The following is a 27,413-nucleotide window of genomic DNA, read 5'->3' as shown; positions in this document are numbered from 1 at the left end:
ACAAAATAACTGAACTAGATTTTTCAGAAACAATGACATGAAAGACCAAAGTAGGCTGAAGAATTGTTTGAGATTAAAGGAAACCAAAGACACGTAAGTGCAATAATGATGCTGGATTGGATCCTGCATTGGAAAATCCACAGTTGCTTTAAAGGACGTTATTAAGCCAATTGGCAAAATCTGAAAATGGCTAGTATATTAGATAATACACTGTATCAGTGTTAAATTTTCTGAATTTAGTAAGTGTATGTGATTGTGCAAGGGAATCCCTTGTTCTTAGGAAATATATGCTAGGATATTCAGGGGTGAAGGGTCAGGATATCTGCAATTTACTCTCAAATGGTTCAGAAAAAAATAAATGTACAGTAGATGTTGTTTCATTCCCTGGGTGTCTTTTTGTCTTGTTGCCACCATCTGGCCAATTATCTCCCAGAGTTTCCCAATTCAAGTTCCTGCCAGAGAGAATGTGCTCAGGAGGGATCCTCTCCATCAACCCTCATTAGGCAGAGCACTTTGTAGGAGGAAACCTCATAGGTATCTGACAAGCCTCTGGATTGGCTGCCTGGGGTCAGGTGCCCATTCTTTGTCCAGTCAGCTCTGGCCAAGGATGAGTCATGTGGTACACAACCTGGCTGCCATCACTGCTCCAGCAGTGGGGCTGTGGGCAAGAGGGTCTCCTCAGAAGGGTTTGGCAGGCCCCAGGCTTGGGCAGGCCAGTATATCCTATATCTCCAGTTGCACAGAGGTAACCCCAGAGATACCTGAAGACCTCCTGACCTAACTTTATACCTCATTCTCACAACAAATATTAGCGGTACCTGCATTGGGCCAGGTTTTGTGTTAGATCCTAGGGGCAAAGAAGTGACCCAGTTCCTACCCTCAGGAGCTCTGACTCAAATTGGAGAGGCATGAATTATGCAGAGAACTGGAGTGCAGGGTTGAATTGCTACCAACAAACAGAAGGCAGTCAACGCTAGTTGAGGCCTGGGCTCCACACCTTAGGAACACAGAGATGGGGTCCAAATGGCCTGCTGAACAGTGGCATTGGCTATGGCTCACAGGAGGGAAAAGGGCTCTCAGATAAGGACCCAGTTGCTGGAAGAGTGTCCTGTGCCATCCCTGAGTCTCTGTTTTCTCTTTGCACAGCCGGACCCAGCAGGACGGGATATCTCCATCCGCCCTCTCCTGGAGCACTGTGAGAACACCCATATGACCATCTGGCTTGGCATCGTCTATGCCTACAAGGGACTTCTCATGGTAGGTGCAGAGCAGGAGACAGTGTTGAGGGGGGACACTTCTTTGTTGGGCCTCTGTCTCCCAGGGGCCTCCATCAATGTAAAAATAAACAGAGCCTCCATGACTAAGCAGTTACTCTCTGTGGACTCAGTGCCTGCCACATGCTATCTCAGTTCCTGCAGCAACCCTATGAGATAGGTACAAATAACATCCTCATTTCACTGATGACACTGAGGCTTGGTGTCTTGCCCAAGGTCATCTGGCTAGTAAGTGGCAGAGTCAAGATCTTAACCAGAGAGTAACCCAAAAACTCGTGGCTGTGCCTTACAGCTGTCACTGCACTACTCCCAGGAAGAGCAGTCTGCCGACATCCAGTGCATGTTCATGTCCAGCATTTCAGCGGACCCTCTCTTAAGTCCATGGGAGGTGGGCAGGATCATCCCCATTTAATAGATGAGGAGGGTAAGCCTCAGAGAGGTTAAATGATTTGCCAAAAGCTGCCTAGTAACCTCCAAACTGCAAACCCAGCACTCTTTCCACTTTACTCATCTTTTGAAATCAAAGATCATGCTAGGTGCTGTGGCTCATGCTTGCAATGCCAGCACTTTGAGAGGCCGAGGTGGGTGGGTCACCTGAGGTCAGGAGTTCGAGACCAGCCTGACCAACGTGGCAAAACCCCATCTCTACTAAAAATACAAAATTAGCTGGGTGTGGTTGTGGGCGCCTGTAATCCCAATTACTTTGGAGGCTGAGGCAGGAGAATCGCTTGAACCCGGGAGGCAGAGGTTGCGGTGGGCCGAGATCAGGCCATTGCACTCCAGCCTGGGCAACAAGAGCGAAACTCCGTCTCAAAAAAAAAAATCAAAGATCACATACCAAGCCCACGTTGTGAAATTCCAACATTAGGAAGAACTTGAAAGGTCAGCTCCACCATATTTCAGCCCAGGTTGATCCTTGAATCTTCTCTCCTATATCCTATATAAACCATGCTTCCACTGAAAGCCATCTAGTGACACAAAGCTGGTCACTGCGCCCTCCTCAGATCTTTCCACAGGGAGGTTAAGTCACCATTCACCCCCGTTTGACCCCACTTAGAGGCCAAAAATGAAGCCCTCTCTCCAAAAGTCAAATAAACTGGAATCTCTTGTGCTGCTCAAATGCATTCTTACCTGCTGCTGCATCACTGAAGTGTTAGTGATTGATCCTGTGTCCTTTGAGAGGCCATGCCAGAAGGGCATGTAAGAGGACCCTAGACAAAGATTGGTCCCCACTTCATACCAGTTGACACCCTTTTATGGTTTTCCATAGAAGTCTTTTGAGCTCCCATGCAAGCAACAGGACCACTGGGCTGCAATCTGAGCACAAGGTAATGACCCTGGGGGTGTCCACAGGAGGTACCCAATATAGAAATAGGAACTTGAGGACTGGCCAAAGGTCCTGGGTTTGGACAAGGACACACTCATAGTCACCAGAAACTTGGAAGAGCTCTCAGCAATGGGTGGCACAGACCTGAGGGCAGAACCGTCAGCCCCAAGCAAAGTTGCTGGAAGGCAGACTCCATCTCCATGTAAAGATGGATTCTTGTAACAGGCAGCCCTGTCCATAGATGCCATGGAGCCCCTAAGAAGGACAAGCTCCCTGTCATGGGAAAGCATGTCATGTCAATGACCTGTGCCTCCCTGACCCTGGTTGAATAGAGAGAATCTAGACTGTCTCCGTGATCCTTCCATCCTTAATGTTCCTTGATTCTGAGACTCATTCCGTGAAAATAGATTACGATGAATCATATTGACATCTTTAAACTGGATTTATTTGTAATGTTTTGATCATTCATTGTCTTCTCCCACCTACTTCCAAAGTGGTTGGAGATGAGAAATGACTGTATGTCTTCCCGTGAAGCTAACAGCTTCAGCCAGCTCATGTCAACAAAAGCTATATTTAATAGCACAAATGCTTCACCATTTAGAACATGCAAGGAACTGTCCCCAGCCTCCTGGCCCTTAAGGTTTATGACTAAAATCCCACTGCCATCCCCCTAATCCTTCTATTTTAGAGCCACAGAATCTCAAGGCTGGGAGAAGCACACACAGCCCTTTGGGTCCACCCCACTGCCAGATGTTTTGGCCCCAATCCCCAGCCCACCCTGAGCATCCCCCAAAGCATTCATTGACTAACTGCTTCTATACCTCCAGTGATGGGGCGCTCGCCCTCTTCAAAGGAGCCTGTGCCATTCGTGGATGATGTGTTCGTTTCCTTTGGCTGTCATAACAAATTACCACAAAACAGTGGCTTACAAAACAAACAGAAATGTATTCTTTCCTAGTTGTGGAGGCCAGAGGTCCAAAATCCAGACAGACACTTGTGGTCCCTCTGAAGGCTCCAGGAGAGAATCCGTCCTTGCCTCTTCCGGCACCTGATGGTTCCAGGCATGCCTTGGCTTGTGACCGCATGACTCTAGTTTCTGCCTCTGTCTCCACATGGCCTTCTCTTCTTCTCCCCAAGGGTCTCCTTTGTGTGTCCTTTATAAGGACACTTATCATTGGATTTGGGGTCCTTCCAGATAATCCAGGATGATCTCATCTCAAGATCCTTCATTATATCTGCAAATACCCTTTTTCCAAATAAGGTCACATTCACGGTTTCCAGGAATTAAGATATGGACATATCTTTTAGAGTCACCATTCAACCCACAGATGGAGTGCTTTTCTAGAAAGTTCTTCCTAATCCTCAGCGGAAATCTTCCTCAGTGTAACTTGTGCCCATGAACCCTCATTCTACTTTTTGAGGGCCTAAGAACAAGTTACTTTGTGTTTCCTCCTGACACTCTTTAGAGATTTACAGCCAACCACCAGGTCCCCAGAGTAGCCCACATTTATTGTGGAGACCTTCACAGTGGCTTGGTGGCCCATCAGTAGCATGGCTGATAGGATCTCTGCTCACTGCAACCTCCGCCTCCTGGGTTCAAGCGATTCTCCTGCCTCAGCCTCCCAAGTAGCTAAAATTACAGGCATGCACCACCATGCCCAGCTAATTTTTATATTTTTAGTAGAGTTGGGGTTTCACCACCTTGCCCAGGCTGGTCTCAAACTCGTGACCTCAGATAATCCACCTGCCTTGGCCTCCCAAAGTGCTGGGATTACAGGTGTGAGCCACCATGCCTAGCCTGGTTCCCCATTTTAAAAGGAATTTTTTAAAAGGAATAAATCAGGCTGTGAGATAACACATTTAGAGAAAGGATAAAAGACAAGGGAGAGGAAAACAATCATGCTTGTATAAAATAAGATCAATTACAAATAGCTTTGAAATTACCTTGGTACAGAACATTTCAGTCTACAGAGTGCTTTGACATCCATCCTCCCATTTCATCCACACACAAACCCTGTGACATAGATATTATTATTATTATTATTCCCAGTCCACAGACGTTGAAAGTAAGGTCCTGAGAGGTGAAGTGACTTGCCCAGGTCACCCAGCCAACAGATGGCAGAGCAGATTCCATATCCCCTGGCCTTGTGTCCAGCCCTGCTTCTACCACACAGCGTTATGCTGCCATCGAATCTCTAAACACAGGTCCTCAGTGTGATGTTAAATGGTTCATGCAGCTGTCAGACGCCTGAAGCTGCCCTGCTGAAGCCGAAGGGAAGAGGGGCCTTTGTGAGAGAGAAGGCCTCTTGGAGGGGCTGCACTAAAGCAGAGGTCCCTGTACCAGTCAGCCATCTTGGCTCTTCCTCCTGCCCACCACACCACCATTCTGCCCTACACCCACCTGAGCTGTCCCTGCAGCCCGCCCTCCCCTTAGACCACCCATAAGGGTTAAACCCTCGACACCCTGCTTCAGATCATAGTTGGCCTCTACCCTGTCCATTTCTGTCAAGACATCTATTGGTTAGGAGTAGAGCTGCAAGTCACAGAAAAACCCAAAATAATAATGGTTGAAGAGACAGGAAATGTTCCTCTCAGGTAAACCTAGTCCAGAGGTAAGCAGTCTAGGGCTGGGGTAAGGCTCCCAGAATCTCAGTTCCTTGCATCTTGCAGCCCCCACATCATCATTACACAGGTTCCACGTCATAGCCTTGTGATCTAAGACGGATGCTGAAGCTCCACCCATCACATTCCACTCCAGCTGTTAGGAAGGAGGAAAAGCAACACCTCTTCCCTTTAAAGACACTTCCCAGAACATGTGCACACCACTTCTATTTACAGGCATTGTCCAGAAGCTAGCAATATGCCACGCCTAGCCTCTAGGGCAGCTGAAAAATGTAGTCGCTATTCTGGGTGTCTGTGTGTGCTTGGGGACAATAGAAGTCTCAGACACAAGGGATCTGCTTAGTTTAATAGAAAAAAGACTGGAGTGAATTTCTAAAAACACAGCCCATTTTTGCTACCATATTGCTGTGCGGCCTTGGGCAGACCTCTTCACCCTTCTGGATATTAGTATTCCCTAGAGAGTGAGGGAGAAAGCTGAGATCTTATCTGAAGTTCCCTTCCACTGTAGCCTTGGGCAGGTCTGTGCATGAACCAGTCATAGGGGTGCAGGAGAACTGGACAGCTGTCACATCCCCAGTCTGCATTTGCTCAGCAGGACTCAGCAGGGCCACAAGTGGGGACAGATGGTGACATCCAGAAGACCCGGCTGACAGCAAGGCCCCCGACCCTCCCTCCCTGCAGCCCACCTCCTGAGTAACCCTCCACTCCACAGCTTCTCAGAGCAGCCTGTGTGTGCCACCCCTTGGTAACGATCATCTCTCCCCTTTCTGTTCACCATTTCAGTTGTTCGGTTGTTTCTTAGCTTGGGAGACCCGCAACGTCAGCATCCCCGCACTCAACGACAGCAAGTACATCGGGATGAGTGTCTACAACGTGGGGATCATGTGCATCATCGGGGCCGCTGTCTCCTTCCTGACCCGGGACCAGCCCAATGTGCAGTTCTGCATCGTGGCTCTGGTCATCATCTTCTGCAGCACCATCACCCTCTGCCTGGTATTCGTGCCGAAGGTACAGGCGCTGGCCCCACCACCTGGCCTCTGCCCTCTGACTCCAGCACAGGGGCATTGCTGGCTTTTCTCCATTCTCTAAAAGGTTTACCCATTCCTTTTTTTTTTTATGATGAAGACAATTCACATTATAGAAAATTCAGAAAATGCACAGTAGTAAAGGCCAGGTTTTTCAGAAATTTCCCATAGTCCCACCACCCAAAAATCATCACTGGTCATGTTTTGTTGGGGTGTTCTTTACTGTTAATGTTTTTGATGTGTTTCCTTCCAGCCTTTTTCTTAATGGCTAGGAGATGATGCCTTTTTTTTTTTTCCCTCACTCTGCCACCCAGGCTGGAGTGCAGTGATGTGATCTCTCGGCTCACTGCAACCTCAACCTCCCGGAATCGAGCAATTCTCCTGCCTCAACCTACCAAGTAGCTGGGACTACAGGCTTGCACCACCACGCCTGGCTAATTTTTAAATTTTTTATAGAGACGGGGTCTCCCTATGTTGCCCAAGCTGGTCTTGGACTCCTGGGCTCAAGCGATCCTCCGGCCTTGGCCTCCCAAAGTGCTGAGATTACAGGCATGAGCCACCTCGCCCAGCCTATGGTGATACTTTTTAAGATATGGCCATAACTATAGCACACATTTTGTTCTTTGCTTAATGTTTTGTCCTTTGTATTTTCCCACATTCATAACTGTCATTGAGGGAATTTCCTTAATTTACTTGCCCACTTGATCTTATATTGGTGAGCATTGGATTTTAGAAATGAACATTTTTTCTGCATAACACAGTTTCCTTTTTTCCAATTATTCCTTTAATGTGGAATCACAGAAGTAGTATTGTTGGGTCCAAAAAAATAACTGTTTTTAGTAGCCACTTATATGTTCCATTTATTTGAAGGGCTGACCTTTAGGACCACCTTGAAGAGAAATTTTTCGAACATCATCCTACCTTGCAATGGGTGGGTGAGCCAGAGGCCTTTCTTCTTAGGAGTCCCTGCAGTAGGGTGATCTGTGTTGAGGGAAGCCTGACCTAAGTGAGTCTCAAAAGTAAAGGAAGGTGGCCAGGCATGGTGGCTCGTGCCTGTAATCCCAGCACTTTGGGAGACCAAGGAAGGAGGATCACTTGAGGCTAGGAGTTCAAGACCAGCCTGAGCAACATGGTGACACCCTGTCTCTACTAAAAATACAAAAAAAAAGCCAGGTGTGGTGGTACACACCTGTAGTCCTGGCTACTCAGGAGGCTGAAGTAGGAAGATCACTTGAGCCTGGAGGAGCAGAGGTTGTGGTGAGCTAAGATTGCGCCATTGCACTCTAGCCTTGGTGACAGAGTGAGACCCTTTACCCGCCCCTCCAAAAAAGGAAAGAACAGGACACAGAGTTGCAAAGCTGGGAGGGGTTACTGACCCAAGTGGGAGGCATCTGCTTCAGAGCAGGGGAGAGGAAAGATCATCTGGGTCCATTTCAGCAAACAGGCTACCCATGGTGCCTCCATCCTCCTGGACATGCAGTCAGCCCCCAGGCACTGTGAGCTCTGCACTGGAATACCTCTGGTGTACACACCTTAGTCGTCCACACCTGCCCAGCCTAAAGGGCAACACCGTGACTTCTCTGCCTGCACTCTGACATTCTTTCCATCCTGTAAAAGAGGCCAGATGATTCTCTAAGCCAAGCTTCAATTGCGGCACTCTGCTCTGTTACGCCCAATAGCTCCCCATTGTCCTCCTGGCTCTAGGATCAGGTTTCTGATGTTGGGCTGGCTCTCAGGACCCTTGGGTCTCCTCTAGTCTCCCCAGAGAACCCTGTCCACCACCCAGCCTGCCCTTCCCCTTCCATTTACCCCAGGCCTCCCTGCGTTGCCAGACACCAGTTCTTCCCTTGGAGTTCCCTTCCCCCCACCATCCCTCCAGACCGCCCTCAAAGCCCAGCAGGCCATGGCACTGTGGTAGGCTGTCCCTGATACCCGCTGGCCTGGTGAAGATTGAGTCCTTCCTTCATCCCCATCCCACGCCTCTGGACCATGAAGTCCCAATGGGCAGGGGCCATGGGTCACTCAGCTCCTGCTTTCCAGAGCTGAGCCCAGAGCCTGCTTCGACCGGAGATGTTTCTAGAATAAGCGGGTAAGGGTCAAGTGGCAACTTTTTGTTTTCTATACAAAATGTTTTGGATGTAGCTAAGCAATGCCCAGACCCCTGACTCACGGAAACTGTGAGATAATAACCATGTGTTGTTTTAAGCTGCTAAAAAACAAGCTTTTGTCAGTGACAGAGCTTGTTACTAGCCTGCTTCCAGAACTCATCAATGGTTTAACAGAGGCCTTCGCTCTCCTCTGTCTCTTTGTTGTCACAACTGTTGCCCTCGGGGCTTATTTTTTCCACAAGGAGCAAGGCCTAAGGCAGCGTGCTAGGCAGCTGGAGTGAGGCCTCGGGGGCCCTGGTTGGGATGCAGGTGGCATCAGGGTCAGGAGACTAGACTCTTAGTGACCAGGAAGGACATGGAGGCTTGGTGAGGGGAGGGGGCCTGCCCCAGGTCACACACAAGCGAGTAGCAGAGTCTGGCCTGAGCCTAGGTCTCCTGACTCCCAGCCTGTGGCTTTCCTGGGGCCTCTTATCGCCTCCAGAGCAGGATCTGCTGGGAGAGTCTGCCATGTGGGATGGGAGGAAGGACTCAAGGCTCTCTCTTCAACCCCGCCCCAACCTTTGTCCTTTCAGCTCATCACCCTGAGAACAAACCCAGATGCAGCAACGCAGAACAGGCGATTCCAGTTCACTCAGAATCAGAAGAAAGAAGATTCTAAAACGTCCACCTCGGTCACCAGTGTGAACCAAGCCAGCACATCCCGCCTGGAGGGCCTACAGTCAGAAAACCATCGCCTGCGAATGAAGATCACAGAGGTACCTCCCTCTGCATCTGGTAGCTGGGCCCTGTCTGCCACTGAAGCCCCTCTAACCCTGTGCGGGGACTCTCAGGCTCCTCTAGACCATCCCTGCAGCATGACCGTGCAGTCTCATCAGCTGCAGTTGCAGCTGCGAGAGCCAGGGGTGACATAAACCACACAGAGGCATTTGTCAGAATCCAACATGAGCTTATTGCCCACCTCACCCAGGCTCTTGGAGGCCAGCAACACCTGATTCAAGCCATCCCCAGACAGAAAGGAACTCAGGGAGATTTGTGAGCTTCTGGATTATCATAGCTTCCTACGTCAGTGTCTCTTTATCTGTGTCTCTCTCCCTCTCAGTTTTTCACTCTCCCAGCACAACCCAGCAACCACCACATCTATGTGATGTACAAGAGAAGAGAAAGTGAAAAGAAACTTTTCAAGAGAGAGTGCTGCAGCAGACCTCGCCTTTGTCCTGAGGGTTCTCAACTGGTTCTTGAATATTCCAGAGAGACCATAGCCAGATTGCCTTGTGCCCAAGCCAGGCTTGGCTTGTAGACCAGGGAAGGGAAAACAAATTACCTCCCCTCCTCTACCCCTCCCTTTGGGTTGGAGGTATGCCTGAACCCGTGCTCTGCAGGCTGTGTGTTGCTTTAATAGAGGAATTCTGATTAGGGAGGGGGACAGGAAAGGGACCAAGGAAAGTACATTGGTTACAATGCTGGCTAAACAAGGCCCCAAAATAAAGTGGCCCAGAGAAAATATGTTTATTTCCCTTTTACCTAATGGCCGTGAAAAGAGAGGGCCCGGTTGGGGCAGCTCTGCTCCCCAAGGTCATTGCTGGGCTTGGTTCCTGCCCTCTGGTTTTCCCCACTCTCCAGGGTGTTCTCTTCATTCATAGCGGGAGAGCTGGGTGGACAGCATGTCCTGTTCACAGTGTCAGGAGGGGAAGAGATAGAAAGTCCACATGAGGGATTGCCTTTTAAGCAGTAACACCAAAAATTGTGCATATTTTGGTTCTGCCCTAGTCACATCAACAAAAACTGACATGAGCACACCTAGTGAGAGGAGAGGCTGGGAAACGTCGTCTCTAGCTGGACAGCTGCAAGGAAGAAGTGAGACATAGGGTTGCCAGATTAGATATGGGATGCCCAGTTAAATTCAGACTTCAGATCAACAACCAATCATATTTTCAGTAAAAGTTTAGCCCAAGTAATACTTGAATATACTTATACTAAAAAAGAACCCATTATCTGAAACTCAAATTTGACTGGACATTCTGGATTTTTATTTGCTAGATCTGGCCGCCCTTTGGGGGGCTCACAGAATTCTGCCACAGAGAGCCACCATACAGTTGTCTGTGCACCTAAAGATGACTGCTTTAGGATGAGGTAACCCACCATCAGCTGCCAGAGCAAACTAAGAAGGGTTTCTGTCCCCCAAAGCCCATTACAGGCTCTGTTTCAATATCAGACCTCTCCTGATGAGTACGACCATGTCACTGCATTTCACTTCTACTTGCACACTTCAGCAATGAAGAGTTCAGTCACATTAGGAAACCCAGGCCACTATTTAAAACTCTTAAATGTTGTGTTATTTTTCCCGGAAATGAATCACAATCTGGCCTCCTGTTGTCCCCACCCTTTGATCCTACTCCTGCCATTTAAGTCACATAGAAAAGAGTATCTCTTTCCCTCCTCCTCCACATGAAAACGTGTTAAACAATTTCATGGCTGTGTTCCTGACATCAGAACAGCCTCTGATAGTTTATCAGGTCTCCTCCCTTATACTACAGCAGGATGCTGTTTGGAAAAATCCTCTAACCATGTTTTTCCTGTGCTCTTGCACCAACACAACAGTCAACGCAGAAGACTTCTGTGACCAAATGTGTGTGGGGTTTTCCCCACCAACGAGCAGCAGGCACCCGCTGGGTGCCTCCAGTTCAAATCCAATGCTACATATCTAGAGATAGCTTCAGATCCCACAGGTTGAGGGCTCAGTCCCCAAGGCTCCCCCTGACCCCCACCCTACCCTCAGATACCAGTCATAAGTCAGGCCTCTGGAACTTCTGACCAGCCAGCTTCAAGTTGGGACTCCCAGGATCCTGCTTTGGGTTGAATTAATTTGCTAGAGGGGCTCACGGAACCCAGGGAAACACATTTACCAGCTTATTACCAAGGACATGAATGAAGAGATGCACAGAGCGAGGACGGGTGAAGGGGTGTGGAGCTTCCCTGCCTCCCTGGGCCCCATGCTCCAGGAACCTTCACGTGTTCAGCTACCCAGAAGATCTTCATACCCTGTTCTTTTGAGTTTTTATGGAGGCTTCATTACACGAGGCATGACTGACAACTGTGTAGAAATGTGATTGGACAAAAATGCATGATCTAAACCCAGCAAGGCCTTTCTGCTCAGAATTTTCTTGGCCTCTCTGTAGCATTCCTTCCTCCAGGGTATGGGGCAAGACTTTCTCTCTGTGATAAAGGTCTTTTGACCTACATCAGATTACAGTCCTGCCTTGAGCAGGTGAGAAAGGACAGGAGAAGGTCAGAGAGAGTGATTCTGTTTCATGAGGCCCGCTCCTGAGGCCTAAAATGCCCCAACATTATAACAAAAGACTCTTACAAGAGATATAGCAGCCAGGAATCATGGATGAAAGCCATTCTATTATACAGATATGGTAATATCACAGATGTTCAACACCCATCCCGACTACCACCCCCAACAACTACCAACACTCATATTGCCCAGGCTTCTCTGGGGCTGAATTGCCCCCAGGACTTGCACCTGATTTTTGTATAACCTGGGAATGGGCCAGGTGCTGTGGCTCACACCTGTAATCCCAACGCTTTGGGAGGACAAAGTGGGAGGATCGCTCGAGCCCAGGAGTTCAAGACCGGCCTGGGCAACATAGAGAAGACTTGTCTCTAAAAATAAAAACGTGGGGATGACTGGGACCCATCCTGATTAACTCCTCTGAGTGAGACCCTGCAGGTCAGAGTCTCCATGATAGTGTGAGGCTCAGAGCTCGCGAGCCCTGCATGTCTGTCCTCCACTGTGGGTCCTATTAAGTATCAGTAATAGTAATTATAAGGCCAGGCACAGTAGTTCATGCCTGTAAACCCAGCACTTTGGGAGGCCAAAGTGGGAGGATTGCTTGAGCTCAGGAGTTCAAGACCAGCCTGAGGAACATAGAGAGACCCCATCTCTACCAAAAAAAAAAAAAATTAGCCAGACATGGTAGCATGCACGTGTAGTCCCAGCTACTCAGGAGGGTGAGACAGGAGGATTGCTTGAGCCTAGGAGATCAAGGTTGCAGTAAGCTATAATTGCACCACTGCACTCTAATCTGGGTGACAGAGTGAGACCCTGTAATAATAGTAATATTATTATAGTAGCAAGTTGCCCTTATTATGTTTCAGACACTGGGCTAAACTTTCCATGTATTATCTTGTTTGATCTGCACAACCTCCCCCTGAGGTAGGTACTATTATTACCCCATTCTACAGAAAAAGAAATTGAGACTGGGTTCTCACAAGCCAGAAGAACATCACTGCAAGTAAGGGGCAGCCTTGGGTTTGCATAAGTCCTGTCCAGAGCCTTAGCTCGTATGCTCTCCCTGCCCTTCCTCCCTGAGCTTGCTTGTCTGCTTCATCAAGGCCCAAGCCTACACTGAACACATAATTGCAAAGCCCAGGTCCCTCTTATCATAGCTTCTCCTTGAACAAAGAGCCGCCAGGATCCTTCTGCATCTCCTCACCAAAATGCAGTAACCCCTCTGATTCTCAGGGCACTCCTGAATACAGGTAAAGGCCCAGCCCTGTGAGCTACCTTTTGGCCCTAGTGGCCTAGCTGCCAGGGCTGGGCCAGGGACCTGACTCAACTGGAACCTTTGTCTTGTAGCTGGATAAAGACTTGGAAGAGGTCACCATGCAGCTGCAGGACACACCAGAAAAGACCACCTACATTAAACAGAACCACTACCAAGAGCTCAATGACATCCTCAACCTGGGAAACTTCACTGAGAGCACAGGTAAGAGAGCCAGGGCCCCAGAATGTGGTAGGGACCTTGGTTTCAAACACCAGCTGTTCATCTTCCATTTTTTAGATGAAGAAACTGAGGCTCAGACAGGGCACAGGACTGGTATGAAGTCACACACACAGAGCTGGAGCATCTGGAACCTCTGTCTGCTGACCACAGTTCAGTGTCCGCTTTGAGCCCCACCCTGCCTGGGCCTGGGTCTTCGATTTCTCATCCCTCGGCTTGCAGTTCCACACCTACACAGTGGGGCCAGCATTCCCAGTGTCCTGACTGGGGGCAGGCACATTTTATTTTCCCTTTTGTTCTTAGCGAATAGTTTACCCTTTCTTCTCTGAACGATATTTCACAGTTTCAAACACACCTCATCAATGTGCAAGAAAAGAATGGTCAGTTAGTTATGATAGAATGCTTAATCTCACCACCCACTTGGGAATTGCAAGCTACAATAACACAAACCTGCCAGGTGCAATGGCTCATGCCTGTAATCCCAGCATTTTGGGAGGCCAAGGCTAGAGAATCTCTTTGAGTCCAGGAATTTGAGATCAGCCTGGACAGCATAGCAAGACCCCATCTCTACAAAAATAAATTTAAAAAAAACCACAAACCATTTTTGCCTACCTTTTAGAAAAAAAATTTTAAAGGTTACCAGAGTTGGTAAGAGTATTTGGAAATGAGCATTCTCCTGCAATGCATTAGAAGTCAGTCTAGCACTGTCTAAATGCTCCATGTTAAACCTCTTGACCTGGCAGTTCTACTAGCAGGAACCTGCCCCTTGCAAATACTCCCAGGTGTGCAGAGATGAACACAGAGATGTTCATCACAGTGCTGTCTGTAGGTGAGAAAAACTGCAGTTAACTTAAATGTTCATTATTTGGGGGTGGTTTCATTAATTAAGATATAGCAAAACATGGCACATTTTATAGCTATTAAAAAGTGAGGTGGGTCTACTTGTGCAGATATGGAAAGATCTCCAGGTGAAAAAAGCAAGATGAAAGCCAACATTATGATTATGGGACACACAAATGCATACATGTGTGTGTGAATGCATTTTTTAAAAGGTTTAGAAAAACAAACACCAAATTGCTAACAGTATTCACTCGTGTGAAAAGAAATGGTATTGTGGAAAGTGAGTGAGAAGGGACTATTTTACATTACTTTTTTTTTTTTTTTTTTAAGATGGAGTCTCACTCTGTCACCCAGGCTGGAGTGCAGTGGCATGATTCCAGCTCACTGCAACCTTCTCACTGGAGAATTCTCACTGGAGAATTGTTCAAGCAATTCTCCTACCTCAGCCTCCTTAGTAGCTGGGATTACAGGTGCCCACCACCACACCCAGCTAATTTTTTTTTTTTTTTAGTAGAGACAGGGTTTCACCATGTTGGCCAGGCTGGTCTGGAACTCCTGACCTCAAGTGATTCGCCTGCCTCAGCCTCCCAAAGTGCTGGGATTATAGGCATGAGCCACCACGCCTGGCCACATTACCTTTTTTGTATTTCTCTATGGCTTGGATTTTTCCATTAGCATGTATTCATCAATTTGTTATAATATTATTTTAAATCAATGAAAAATCTTTATTTTATTTATTTATTTTTTATTTTTTTGAGACGGGGTTTCGCTCTTGTTGCCCAGGCTGGAGTGCAATGGCACGATCTCGGCTCACTGCAACCTCCACCTCCCAAGTTCAAGCAATTCTTCTGCCTCAGCCTCCTGAGTAGCTGGGATTACAGGTGCCTGCCACTGCACCCAGCTAATTTTTGTGTACTTTTAGTAGAGACGGGGTTTCACCATGTTGGCCAGGCTGGTCTCGAACTCCTGACCTCAGGTGATCCACCCACCTCAGCCTCCCAAAGTACTGGGATTACAGGCATAAGCCACCATGCCTGGCCTTTTATTCTGATTATATAAGTAGTAAGTGGTCTTATTACAGTAGCAATATTCTATAATTAATATTATATAACATGGTTATTGCAAAAACGTTTAAATTGAGATAACAAGGAAATTACAAGAATAAAAATTACTTCTAATAACTTTCGTATCTGGTAAAAGTGGGCATTTTAAATTTGTGGGAAAAATGAATTATTCAATAAATTTCATTGGGATAAATGGGTAGGCATCTGGAGGAGAATAAGGTAGATCCTAAACTCACACCTACACAAAAATTAATTCCAATGAATAAAATATTTAAATATAAAAAATGAAAACATGAAAGTACTAGAAGAAACCAAAGTAAAATTTTTAAAAAATAATCTCAGAGAGTGGAGGACCTGTCTCAGTTTGATGCAAAACAGAAATCACAAAAGGAAAGGTTGATAAATTTAGGTACAAAAAGAATTTCTTTCATAATGCAAAAGCCATGATAAGTACAGTCAAAAAAATCAAACAAAGCCAAAAATTAACTCAGATAACAAGCTTATGCCCTTATATATAAGGAGAAATGATGTGTAACAATACAAAAAGTATGTATAATTATATACCAATTAGTAAGAAAAAGACCAACATCTCAAAAGAAAAATGAGCAAAAGAGAGTTCTCATAAAAGGAACTGGAAATTGTTCTTACACTTATGAAAAGATGATCAATCTCATTCCTTATTAAAGGAATGCAAATTAAATCTGCAATGAGATACCATTTTTGCCTCAAAGACTGGCGAAGATCAGAGATCAAAAAGCTGCTCAGAGTGCCAGGCAACAGGTTATAAGAGAGGCATTCTCAAATGCTGCTGGTTGAAACAGAAATCATTCAGACCCAGCAATCCCACTTTTGGGATTTGTTCTCCATGCCTTAGTCTGTTTGTGCTGCTGTAACACAATACTGCAGACTTGGTAATTTATAAACAACAGAAATGTATTTCTTACAGTTCTGGAGGCTGGGGAGTCCTAAATCAAGGTGCCAGTAGGTTCAGTGTCTGAGGAGGGTCCAGCCTCCACTTCTGAGATGGCACCTGGATTGCTGCATCCTCTGGAGGGGAGGAACTCTACATCTTCATGTGGCAGAAGGAGTGGAAGGGGTAAACCCACTTTCTCAAGCCCTTTTGTAAGGGCCCTAACCTCATCCATGCGGGCTCCGCCTTCACGACTTAATTACCTCCTAAAGGCCCCACCTCTTACACTATCACATTGGTCATTCAGTTTCAACACATGAATTTGGGGGGACACATTCAGACCATAGCAGTATGGATATACAGTCGATTCTGCTGATTCACCGTAGCGGTAGTTATGTTCTTTCTGTAAAGCCTCCATCAACAGTGGATTGTGAATACTGAACCATTGCTCCTATACAGGATTAGTTCCTGGGAATCTCTCACAGGCTGACATCACAAGCTGACATTTTTGTCCACCAATCAATATATAATTTTGTTGTATGCATGTTTCTCTTTAAAGACATCTTATTTAGGCTGAGCACAGTGGCTCAAGCCTGTAATCCCAGCACTTTGGGAGGCCAAAGTGGGCGGATCACGAGGTCAAGAGATCGAGACCATCCTGGCCAACATGGTGAAACCCTGTCTCCACTGAAAATACAAAAATTAGCCGGGCATGGTAGCACGTGCCTGTAGTCCCAGCTACTTGGGAGGCTGAGGCAGGAGAATCACATGAACCTGGGAGGCGGAGGTTGCAGTGAGCCCAAGATGGCACCACGGCACTCCTCCTGGAGACAGAGTGAGACTCCGTCTCAAAAAAAAAGACATCTCATTTAATATATATGGTTTAATTAGCATTGCACTCACAGCCAACAGCACTATAGCTCATGCCTGATGGAAGCTTATCTAACTCATGTATTTTCTCTCCATAAGGCACATCACAGCCCTCTTGTGCTTAGGGACACTAGCCAGCACTTCAGCGCTGTGCTTGGGGGCCATTTTAAACAGCAAACTCACCAACACACAGCACAAAATGTGAAAAACATGTCACTAAATAACCTTCAGGAAGATACTTATTTACAATATAAAAGCTAAGCGCTAAGGCAGTGCATCACCTTGCTCAACCTCAGCTGGGAACACGTGCATCATGCAACTCACATTTTCCCACACCGTGCATGTCAGCAAATGACCACAAAAGCATTGAAATATTGATTTGGGGATTACAAATAAATTTTAGTCAGAAGAAGAGTTCGCAAATACAAAATTCATGAATAATGAGGATCAACTGTACACACGTAGGTGCAAAATGACATACATATAAGGTTGCCCACTGGAGCAAAAACAAAGACCCCTCCAGACCACATGAATCCAAATCTCGGGTGGGAACCTGATTTTTATATTTCTTTAAATCTCCTTGTATGGTCCTGAAGCACAGAGAGAGTTGAGAGAATTTGAATCACATATTTTGTGGCTACACAATATTATTTTGAATGGAGGTCCTATAACTTCTGTAACTAATCCATTATTACCAAATTCAGATGAGTTCCAACATTTTAATATTATAAATGATGCTGAGGTTGTGGCTGGGCGCAGCGGCTCACACCTGTAATCCTAGCACTTTGGGAGACTAAGGCAGTTGGATCACCTGAGGTCAGGAGTTCGAGACCACCCTGACCAATATGGTGAAACCCCATCTCTACTACAAATACAAAAAATTAGCTGGGCATGGTGGCATGCGCCTGTAGTCCTAGCTGCTTGGAGCTGACACAGGAGAATTGCTTGAACCTGGGAGGTGGAAGTTGCAGTGAGCCAAGATAATGCCACTGGTGGCACGATCTGAGTGACAGAAAAAAAAAAAAAAGATGCCGAGGTTGAACATCTTGTATATATCTTTGCACAGATCCTTAATTATTTCCTTAGGATAATTTCGAGAAGTGGAAATTCCGGGTAAAAAATAGGTCCTTTTATGGTGTTTGACACAGATCAGCAGTGCCCCCAGTAAGATTATGTCCATTTATTCTCCCACCAGCAGTTTACTGACTATTCTTTTTCTTTGCAATCTTTGCTGCTCTATGAAAAATATACCTTGGAGGTTTTTTCTTTGTCTTACATCCCTATGTGCCTGTGAAAAAGAATGTTAGAACCTCTTGTTTCTAAGTTATGTTTCCTACATTAGTCGACTTGATTTTCCCCTTTTTGTTCTTGGAAAGGAGAGCGTGGGGCATGCCACACACATCCCCAGCACATTGCTTCCATCCCTGACTGCTGGAGGCTTCTCAGCTCACCGCCTTGGTCCCGGGAGAGCCACTACACAGACCTCAGCTTAGAGAACACAGAGGGATAATGGGCTCTTTTGCATTCTGTCTCTTGGGGCATCATCCTACAAAAAGTTGCATTGTTGATTTTTAAAAACTAAGTTAACCGAACATGTTGTGGTATTGTTGTTTTGCATTCAGATGGAGGAAAGGCCATTTTAAAAAATCACCTCGATCAAAATCCCCAGCTACAGTGGAACACAACAGAGCCCTCTCGAACATGCAAAGATCCTATAGAAGATATAAACTCTCCAGAACAGTAAGTACCTTCTCCTTGAGAATTATAACTGAAGAAGAAATACGTCACTCCTGCACAAGAGTTTGCAATTTGCACGATGTTTTCACATCCATTATTTTATTTGCTTTCCACAGCCATCCCATGATGCAGTCCAATTACAGTGCTCTTTTTACAGATGAAAAACTAATATTCAAAAAGGGGAGGTGACTTGCCAAAGGTCACTCAATTGCTACATGCAGGAAGTAGGACTTGAACTCACATCTTTCCAACATCAAATCCCATGTTGTCTACCACAAGACGCTGCCTTTGTTATGTGTAAAATTTAACCTTGCTAAATGCATTTACTTAACAGTTTACTGAGACCTCCTGTATGTCAGGCATAGGTGCTAGGGTTACAGCGGTGAAGAAAACGGACTAAAATTCCTATCTTCATAGAGCTTCCATTCTATCTAGGAGGCTGATAGCTTAATTAAAAAGCAAGAAGTGGCATGTCAAACAATAGGAGCTTTGGAGGAAAAGCACAGAAGGGGGTCAGGGAGTGTCATTTTAAATAGGGTGGTCAGAGAAGACTCAATGAGATGGTGACATCAAAGCAAAGACCTGAACATCTCTGTTAGCTTTGTTCCCACAGGCAATTTTAGGCCTTCCCATCTTATAGCACATTGGAAGCAGAAGCTGGAAATACAAACTTTGAAACTTGGCCTCTGGAAGTGACAAGCAATGAGGAACCAGCAAAAGCAGCCAAATCACCAATTGCAGCATCATTTGGGGCTCTTTAGTATTAGAGCTAAGGGCCTGTCAACCCAACTAGCTCCAAGGCCTGGCCAGCTTACAGTCCAGGACAGTGAGTGAGAGTTACATGGAATTTGTCAGCAGTTTGCCTAGCAGTTGCCTCCAGTAGAGTGTAAGCACCTTGAGAGTAAGTTATGAGTCCTTCATGTGTCCCCTGCACCGAACACAGGTTCTGCCAGTGAATAGGTTCTTGACAAGCATTTGTTGAATGAATGAAAGGTGAACAGGATCCTAACAGACAGAAGAATGCTCTGACAACCACAGGACCCACCTTGCCTAGGCAGATAGCCCTGCCCTGGGTGCTTGGACAGGACACCCTTTTCCCAGGTCACAGTTTATTCTTCCCTTTTTGTCCTGGACTTCTTGCCAGCATGATCTTGCCTTAAGACACAGACTTCAGCTGACATTATACAGGTCCAACTTTAACTTCAGAATGAGATCTCCAACACTGTAGTTCCATGCACACCTGTGAGGTGTCTCTTGGGAGGAATCTTTCTGGAAAGTGTGGGCAGCACTTCGTCTGTACCCATCTATCTCAGAACCCACCAGTGACCTAAATGAACCCCAAGGGCACACCCAGTTGGGATAAGGCTGCCCCCATGAGTTGATTCGCCTCCACCACAAAACAATGTGGTTGAACAGAAGCAGCAAGAATTCCAGCTTCCCCAGTTCTGGTTTTGTTTCCATGGGGAAGTTACCTGAACTCTGTACTCTTCCCTCTTCTTTATAATGGGAATAGCAGTATTTCTTTTGCCTATTGGGTGTCTGTTAAGCTCTGGGGTTTTTGTTTTTCGCTTTTTTGCACGTGAGTGGCCAGGCACTGGGAACACAAGAAGGCATAAGAACTCAGTCCCTTCTCTCAAGGAATGCGGTGTGAAAGTTGCACCCATGGAGAACTGTGCAAGAATGCAGCTGAGCCGAGCAGAGGAGCAGTCACCTGGGCACATTTGCCGCAAGCAGCCTTTTCAACAAAGTGACATGACAGTCATTAAGACCAGAAGGGTGTGGCAATGAGAAGGGAGTCAGAGGGCAGCTCCCTTTTCCCTTGCTGCTCCTCCATCACGTGCTAACCCACACCCAGCTCCATCTTGCCTCCAGCTTTTTCTGGCTTCATTTCTGAGTATTTACCTAGGGTTCTGCTTAGCAGAGGAAGGGTTCTCCTAGCAGAGAGTGAGCACAAACAAGGTGATATTTAAACTGGATCTTGAAGGAGACACAGTTCATCATGTCAGGAAGCAGAGAAAGAGTCTTCCAGACAGGGAAACAGCAGAAGAGCACCCAGGAGCAGGGTTTCCAGGGAAACTGGCTGCCAGAGGGCAGGGCTTACAGGTGGAAAGGATGGAAGATTCACCTGGAAAATTCTGATCCAAAGATGGAACTTAGGGGGCCCCAAATATCACATCAGTGTCCCTTTTTTTCCCTTCCTTGGCTTCCTAGTGTTGGAAAGATAACACTAGTTACCAAAGAAGCTGGAAGAGCCTGTGGGAATTGGCCCAGCAAGAAGAGATGCGGTCCTGGGCAAAGCAGAGGCAGACGGGAGAGAGGAAGGATGGAGCAGGCGAGAAGTCTTTCAGGGATGAAACTGAAAGCCCTGTGGAGGTTTGCAAGAGTAGAGAATGCGAACTATCTGGTTTGCAGCAAAGCCCTGATAGAAAGGCAAAGCTTTGTCCTTAGTAATACAGACAGTCCCCAACTTACCATTTTTCAAATTTACAATGGTGTGAAAGTGATACACATTCAGTACAGTATTCAGTAAATTGCATGAGATATTTAACACTTTTTTATAAAATAGGCCTTGTGTTAGATGATATGGCCCAACTGTAAGTGTTCTGAGCACATTTAAGGTAGGCGAGGCTCAGCTAGGATATTTGGTAGGTTAGGTGGATTAAATGCATTTTTCAACTTACGATATTTTCAACTTACAATGGGTTTATGGGAATGTAACCCCATCGTAAGTCAAGGAGCATCTTTTCTGCTAGGGTATTTATAATAACCACCAAATCCTGGCCCAAAGCTCGAGAAAATTCATCTCCCTTGTTTATTCAAGTCTCCCTGGTCATTCCCAGGGCAGTAGCTGGTACATATGGGCCCTCATTAAATACCTGCTGGATTGCTGAATGGTTAGATGATTGGATGGACAGATCTTGGATTCAGAGAAAAATATGCTCCTGTCATCAGCTTTTTTAGCCAAAGCAAGTCCAAGGAACTTTCTGGTAAGCGCCCAGCTACCCTTCACTAACACTCCTCCCTCTCCTTCTCTTCAGCATCCAGCGTCGGCTGTCCCTCCAGCTCCCCATCCTCCACCACGCCTACCTCCCATCCATCGGAGGCGTGGACGCCAGCTGTGTCAGCCCCTGCGTCAGCCCCACCGCCAGCCCCCGCCACAGACATGTGCCACCCTCCTTCCGAGTCATGGTCTCGGGCCTGTAAGGGTGGGAGGCCTGGGCCCGGGGCCTCCCCCGTGACAGAACCACACTGGGCAGAGGGGTCTGCTGCAGAAACACTGTCGGCTCTGGCTGCGGAGAAGCTGGGCACCATGGCTGGCCTCTCAGGACCACTCGGATGGCACTCAGGTGGACAGGACGGGGCAGGGGGAGACTTGGCACCTGACCTCGAGCCTTATTTGTGAAGTCCTTATTTCTTCACAAAGAAGAGGAACGGAAATGGGACGTCTTCCTTAACATCTGCAAACAAGGAGGCGCTGGGATATCAAACTTGCAAAAAAAAAAAAAAAAAAAAAAAAACAAAAAAACTAGACAAGGAGAGAGGCACTAGAACTCCAGCTGGAAGTCACGGAGTGGCTCGAGCAGCCTTGGGAAGAGGCAAGGAGCTTCTGAAGAAACTGCCTCTGCACACACATCACTGGCTGTGACCCCTCAGGCTAGCCCTTCTCCACTCTGGGGGAGGAGGTGGGAAGGGCCACCAGGCCCCCAGCTGCCAGGCCAGCTGACCCCAGCCTTCCTGGAACAGGGAGTCTGCAGGAGCGCAGACAGGCACAGCCCTGGAGCAGGCAGGCCGAGGGCTGCGGCACTGGAGCAGGCTGACTTACATGCTCCACATGGGACCTGTGTCACCCAATGAGATGTTTGTTACTCTGGTAAATGCCACACGTTAACACAATAACACCCATTCCTGGGACCGTGGGGATTTAGGGCACGTCACTGCAGACACGCTCTGCAGCATTCACCGACAGTCTGTCATGCACCCACCACGTTGGCCATGTCCTTGTGTTCCTATCGGATGCTCCCAGTAACCAGGGGGACCACCCGAGCTAATCATGGAATGTCTGTTCCCAGCAAACACGATAAAGAAAGATTGTGCACTTTAACCTCTCTCATCAGGGCCCAAGGGCTGGCTGGGATTTTTTTTTTTTTTTTCCCACTAACTTTGTTTCTGACCAAAGTGAATTGGAGGCACTCTGCTAAAAGACATCCCCGTAGACATAGGGGAGAGAGTTGCTGGCTGAGGGCTTCCCTTGGCTTCCAGAAGGCAGCCTTCCATCCAGACAAGCCAGTGAGCTCTCCCCTTGGGATCACTGGGGTGATCAGTCAGCAGATTGATTCTCATTCATAAGATCATTCCTCCCTTTAAATTGAGCCCCTAAGAGCACTGGCCTGGGAGTCAGACAGACCTGGGTTCAAGTCCTCAGTCCCCTGCCCACTCCCTACGTGACTTTGATCAGGTCACTAGTGTCTCTCTGAGCCTCAGTTTCCCCTCTGTAACTTGGGGTTGAACTAAAACACCTGTCCTGCCTACCTCACAAGGTCACTCTGAGGATTGAAACTTGATCTTGTCCAGGAAAGCTTTGTACCAAACAGTGAAGCCGCCCTGATCCGTGAGGTATGAGTATGACTCTGACCTTCAGCCCTCCCTACAGCCGGGGGTGTGGCCCAGAGAAGCTTCCAGCACAGCCCTCTACCCAGAACATCCGGGCTGGAGGGAGGCTCCCAGTGACTTTTCTGACATTCCTAGACAGGTTCATTCTTTGCTCAAGAAAGGCCTGAATGACAATGTCCAGGATGTCTGCACAACTGAGCAGCTCGCTCACTCCCTAAAGAAACCTATTGGCAGCTTCAACAGGCAGGCAATAATCTCTTCCCAGAACCACTGCAGTCAGGAATAAACTGTTTTCTCCACCAGGCTTTGACAAAAGGGCCCACAGGAATCTTACCAATGCCAACATTTCAAAGCACCCTATTTCACGTAGCATAGCTTTCTGCTCCCCTTCCCCAAAGAGAGGTTATGGAGGTACTGTAGCTTTTAGGGAAAAAAAAATGTTAACACATCACAGGTCAAGTTGAAGTCATTCTCTGTTTAGGCACTAAAAATCGGTGTTGTCACTCACTGTGTATTACCAGTATTTACTTGCTTTCTTGATTTCACCAAAACCAAATTTAATTTAAAGGACCACATTAATTTTTCAAAGGGAAAGAGACAATTAATTGTACATAATGTATACACACACACAAAAAAAAATACCTGTAGAAATATTATTCCAGCATAGCAGGAAAACAAACAAAAGTATTGGACTGTCGGAGGTGAGCCTGTGCGTCTGTAACCCTTTGTGACTCCTGAGCGTGCGCTGTCTTCTAGGTTAACTCACGAAGTACATTCTCTGTCTTACTGATACTGTAGGTTCACCCATTTTTTTTTAATTTCCTCGCAAATAACAAGACCCACAGAAGTGACTCTAGCTACTTAATGGTTCTGTTCTTTTATATGCAGCAAACACACCGTCCATTTCTGAAGAGGCTTCGGCCTGAAGGCATTTTCCAATGATGTTAGTGCACAAAACGCTTTAAATTAGACTGGAACTGCCAGAATCAAATGTAAATGAGGAATTTCTCGTACCCCTACTGCATGGTATCGATTTTTAATAAATTGTTGCAAATTTGTTTTTATGAATAAAAGGAAAAAACCTGTCGTCTTTAATGCCTACTCATCCCAAAATGCAGGTCAGATCGGGCCATATTCCTCCGCTTAGAAACTCAGGGGACAATTCTGGGGTTGCCTGCTCAGCATTGTCCCTTCCTTCATAAACTGCCCATCCCAGCCTCCTGCTGACAGCGGCAAAGCAGCCCTGTTACCAGGTGACCCCAACTTCTGGCCACAGCTGATTAATTCGAGGGTGGGAATTTGACCTAGGCTGGGCCGGTAAATCACTTCCTCAGGATTCCTCCATGTAGAGAAATTTAGTCTGCGATGAAACAGAAAAAAAAAAAAATGGAGCCAACAGAGAGACAATCAGGACCAACAGCTGAGTTCTGATGGTGTCTGAGTACCTGGTTAGCGGTCCCTTCCTGCGCTCCTCTGAAAGCACAGCCCTGATTTTGGGGTAAGGAAGGGGACCTATTGGAAGGGAATCTTGCTCCCACCATCCTTGCTCCCACCCCCGGACACAGTGATTGGTTCAGGAATATGCTCATTATCCAGGACCAGCCAATCAGAGCACTTCCCAGGGTTTCTGCCAGCTGTTTTCAGGAGGTTTGAAGGCACTCTGGGCCCTCCTCACCTGCTCAGTTGTTCAGGACTTCCTTGGATTCTCTGTTCTTCTGATACATTGCCCTTTTTGCCGAGGTTAGTTCAAGTTGGGTTCCCATCACTTGCAATCCCAAGATTCTTAAATAATATGGAAAACCCACAACCTCTCCAGCCCCAACTCCCCTTCGGGGCCTTGCCAGCCTGTCGAGATTTGGCCCCATGCTCCTTTCTAGCCTCATCATCCCACCCCCCGGAGCCTATGGAGCCACCCCAAAGTCTGTTTTACTTCTCCAGGGTGCTGAGCCTCAGCCGGCAGCTCCGACTAGATCCCCTTCAATGGGATCTTCTCTTCCTAGCTCTGGACTGAGGACATTCCCCCTCTCTACAGCACTGCATACATGCCCACGCTGTCCCCTCCCCATTCCGGACCCTGAGCTCCCTGACGATGGGACTCATGTCTGCTTCCATGACGTTCCACTGGGCAGCAGTTCCTCCCTGTAGCTCAGAATGGGCTTCAACGAGGCTTTTCATAATTGAACATTTTGACAGAGGCTTGTCCACACTGGTTGCTGGGTCTAGAAGGCAGAGTAAAAGCAGAGGTGGCCACAGCAGGCTGGGGAGGCCCGAGGTTCATGTGACTGGGTGCAGTCCTAGAAATGGGTGCACTGGACTCACAGACTCCACTGGAGGGCTAGTCCCAGCCTGGAGTTTTCCGGGACATGGGATCCTCAACGTGGAGGCTCCCAAGGAGCAGGCTCTCTGAATCCTGGCCCAGGAGACCCCTGCTCTGTGCCTGCTGCTCCACACCACTGCTCATACAGCCATCCTACGGGATGTGGGTTGTTCAAGGATGGGAAACAGGCCCAACATGAAGAATACGTACCCAAGGCCACCTAATAAGGCTGTGGCAAAGGCAGGAACAACCAGAATCTTAGCTGGTCTTCCTTCTCTACCTGACCCTGACTCACAGAAATTAGAGCAGAGAAAGGTGGCAGCGGTCATCTCACCCAGCCCCTCCTAGTACAGTTGGGGAAACGGAGGCCCAGCAACTGGAGCCAAGGTCAACCAGAAGGTCACGAGAGGGCCAGCATGGAACCCAGATGTCCTGGTTTTGAGACTTGGCTCTTCTCAGTCCACTTCCCACACCTGTTCTGCCATAGGTAGTACGACCACAGCGGTGAGACGCTGCCCCATAGAGCAATTTCTCAGCTACCACAGACTGAGAAATCTTTACATAGCCTCACTAAATATGGAGTCAGCCAAGACAACATTTGGTCTTTCCTCTTAGCACGTCTGAAAGAGAGAAATGACCCAAGTGTTGAAGATGCTCCTTGTCACATCACTGAAGTGATGCCTTGCTTGGCCATAAGCAGGAAAAGCCCAGACAGCAATGGTGCACTTCATTCCTCTTCATTCTTCTTCAAAAGCATTCTGTCTTCCTTTTGTTATGACTGGGTCATTTCTGAGTTAAAAATAAAAGAGTGTTTCCCAACCTCAAAGACAGGCTTTCTGGAGTTGAAGCCCTCTTAGAAAGCTCTGCCTGGGGGTCTCCTCACCCTGGGGTGTGGAGACAACACTGGGGTCCACTCTGAGGGAAGAAGGGGAGAGGTTTCTGAAAACATTAAGCCTGGGGCACCAGCCGAGGCCTGCCCTTCCAGGCAGTTTCCTGTGCTCAGCAATTTCTTCTCTACAAGGATCAGGATCCACAGGCCTAGAAGCCAGTGCCAGGGAGAGGAGGTGGTACTGGGTAGATTGCAAAAAGCAGACTGGCGGCCATCAGCACCTCTGCCTGTCCAGCAACCACATCTGCCTTCCTGCAGCTCCTCTGAAAGCACTGCCCTACTTTTGGGGGAAAGCAGAAGAGAGAAAATCTGGAGGGCCGCCCTTGCTTCCACTGCTGGACACAGGATTGGCTCAGGGATATGCTCATTAACCAAGCCCAGCCAGTCAAAGCTTTCCCCTGCCGTTTTTAAGAAGTTTGAAATCTTGCCCTCCACGTGGAGAGCAATGAAAAGAGGGAAACTGAGCTCTCATTGCATCATTTAGGCTCAAGGACCAGTGATACCTAAAAATACATCCATCCTTGAGCTTGTAGGTTTTAAACTAATACATACCCTTTTCTGCTTACATAGAGTTGGGTTTCTGTCACTTAGAACCAAAAGAAATCTGTGGGATGCAGAGGGGCTCCACGAGGGGTTCACTGTTGTCTGAAACCCTCCTGGTATTAAGGAGACATGCAGGAGATATTTCCCTGGCCTCACACACGCTGCTGAACAGGGAGGTGGGTAAGGATACCCAAAGGGAAGATGGGGCTAAGAAGCCTCAGGAGGCTAAAGAAGGGTCAAGGAGCCAGGCTGAGGGCCGGAGGGCTGGCACCAAGCTGCGTGCCCAGCACTTGTCACCTGCCTGTCCCCTACCCCCTTAGCTTGTCACCCCTTACTTAGCCTTGAGGAGCAGGGTTTGTAGGTACTGGACAGTAAATGATTAACACACTCTCTGGAAGAGAAAATTGGTCCCTCCTCTGCCTCCACCCCACATCTGAAACCCCTGGCAAATCCCAGGGGCTAACTCCATCATACTTGGTCTGCCCTGTC

The 27,413-nt window shown here is 47.4% G+C and overlaps 1 protein-coding gene across 4 annotated transcripts in view; it reads left to right on the top strand.

Moving 5' to 3' along the window:
* Nucleotides 1-24,243, top strand: part of GABBR2 (gamma-aminobutyric acid type B receptor subunit 2) — a 420,827-nt gene extending 396,584 nt beyond the window's left edge. For all 4 annotated transcript variants that reach the window (NM_005458.8, XM_017015331.3, XM_005252316.6 and 1 more), the window contains 6 exons: nucleotides 1,147-1,257; nucleotides 6,007-6,231; nucleotides 8,929-9,111; nucleotides 12,999-13,128; nucleotides 18,450-18,567; nucleotides 21,603-24,243. In NM_005458.8, the coding sequence (NP_005449.5) occupies nucleotides 1,147-1,257; nucleotides 6,007-6,231; nucleotides 8,929-9,111; nucleotides 12,999-13,128; nucleotides 18,450-18,567; nucleotides 21,603-21,768 (933 nt within the window). In that variant the 3' untranslated portion in view covers nucleotides 21,769-24,243. The remainder of the gene's footprint in view (nucleotides 1-1,146; nucleotides 1,258-6,006; nucleotides 6,232-8,928; nucleotides 9,112-12,998; nucleotides 13,129-18,449; nucleotides 18,568-21,602) is intronic.

Source organism: Homo sapiens, chromosome 9 (assembly GCF_000001405.40).
Source record: "Homo sapiens chromosome 9, GRCh38.p14 Primary Assembly".
NCBI classification, from domain to species: domain Eukaryota; kingdom Metazoa; phylum Chordata; class Mammalia; order Primates; family Hominidae; genus Homo; species Homo sapiens.
This window is presented reverse-complemented; position numbering and strand designations above follow the sequence as displayed.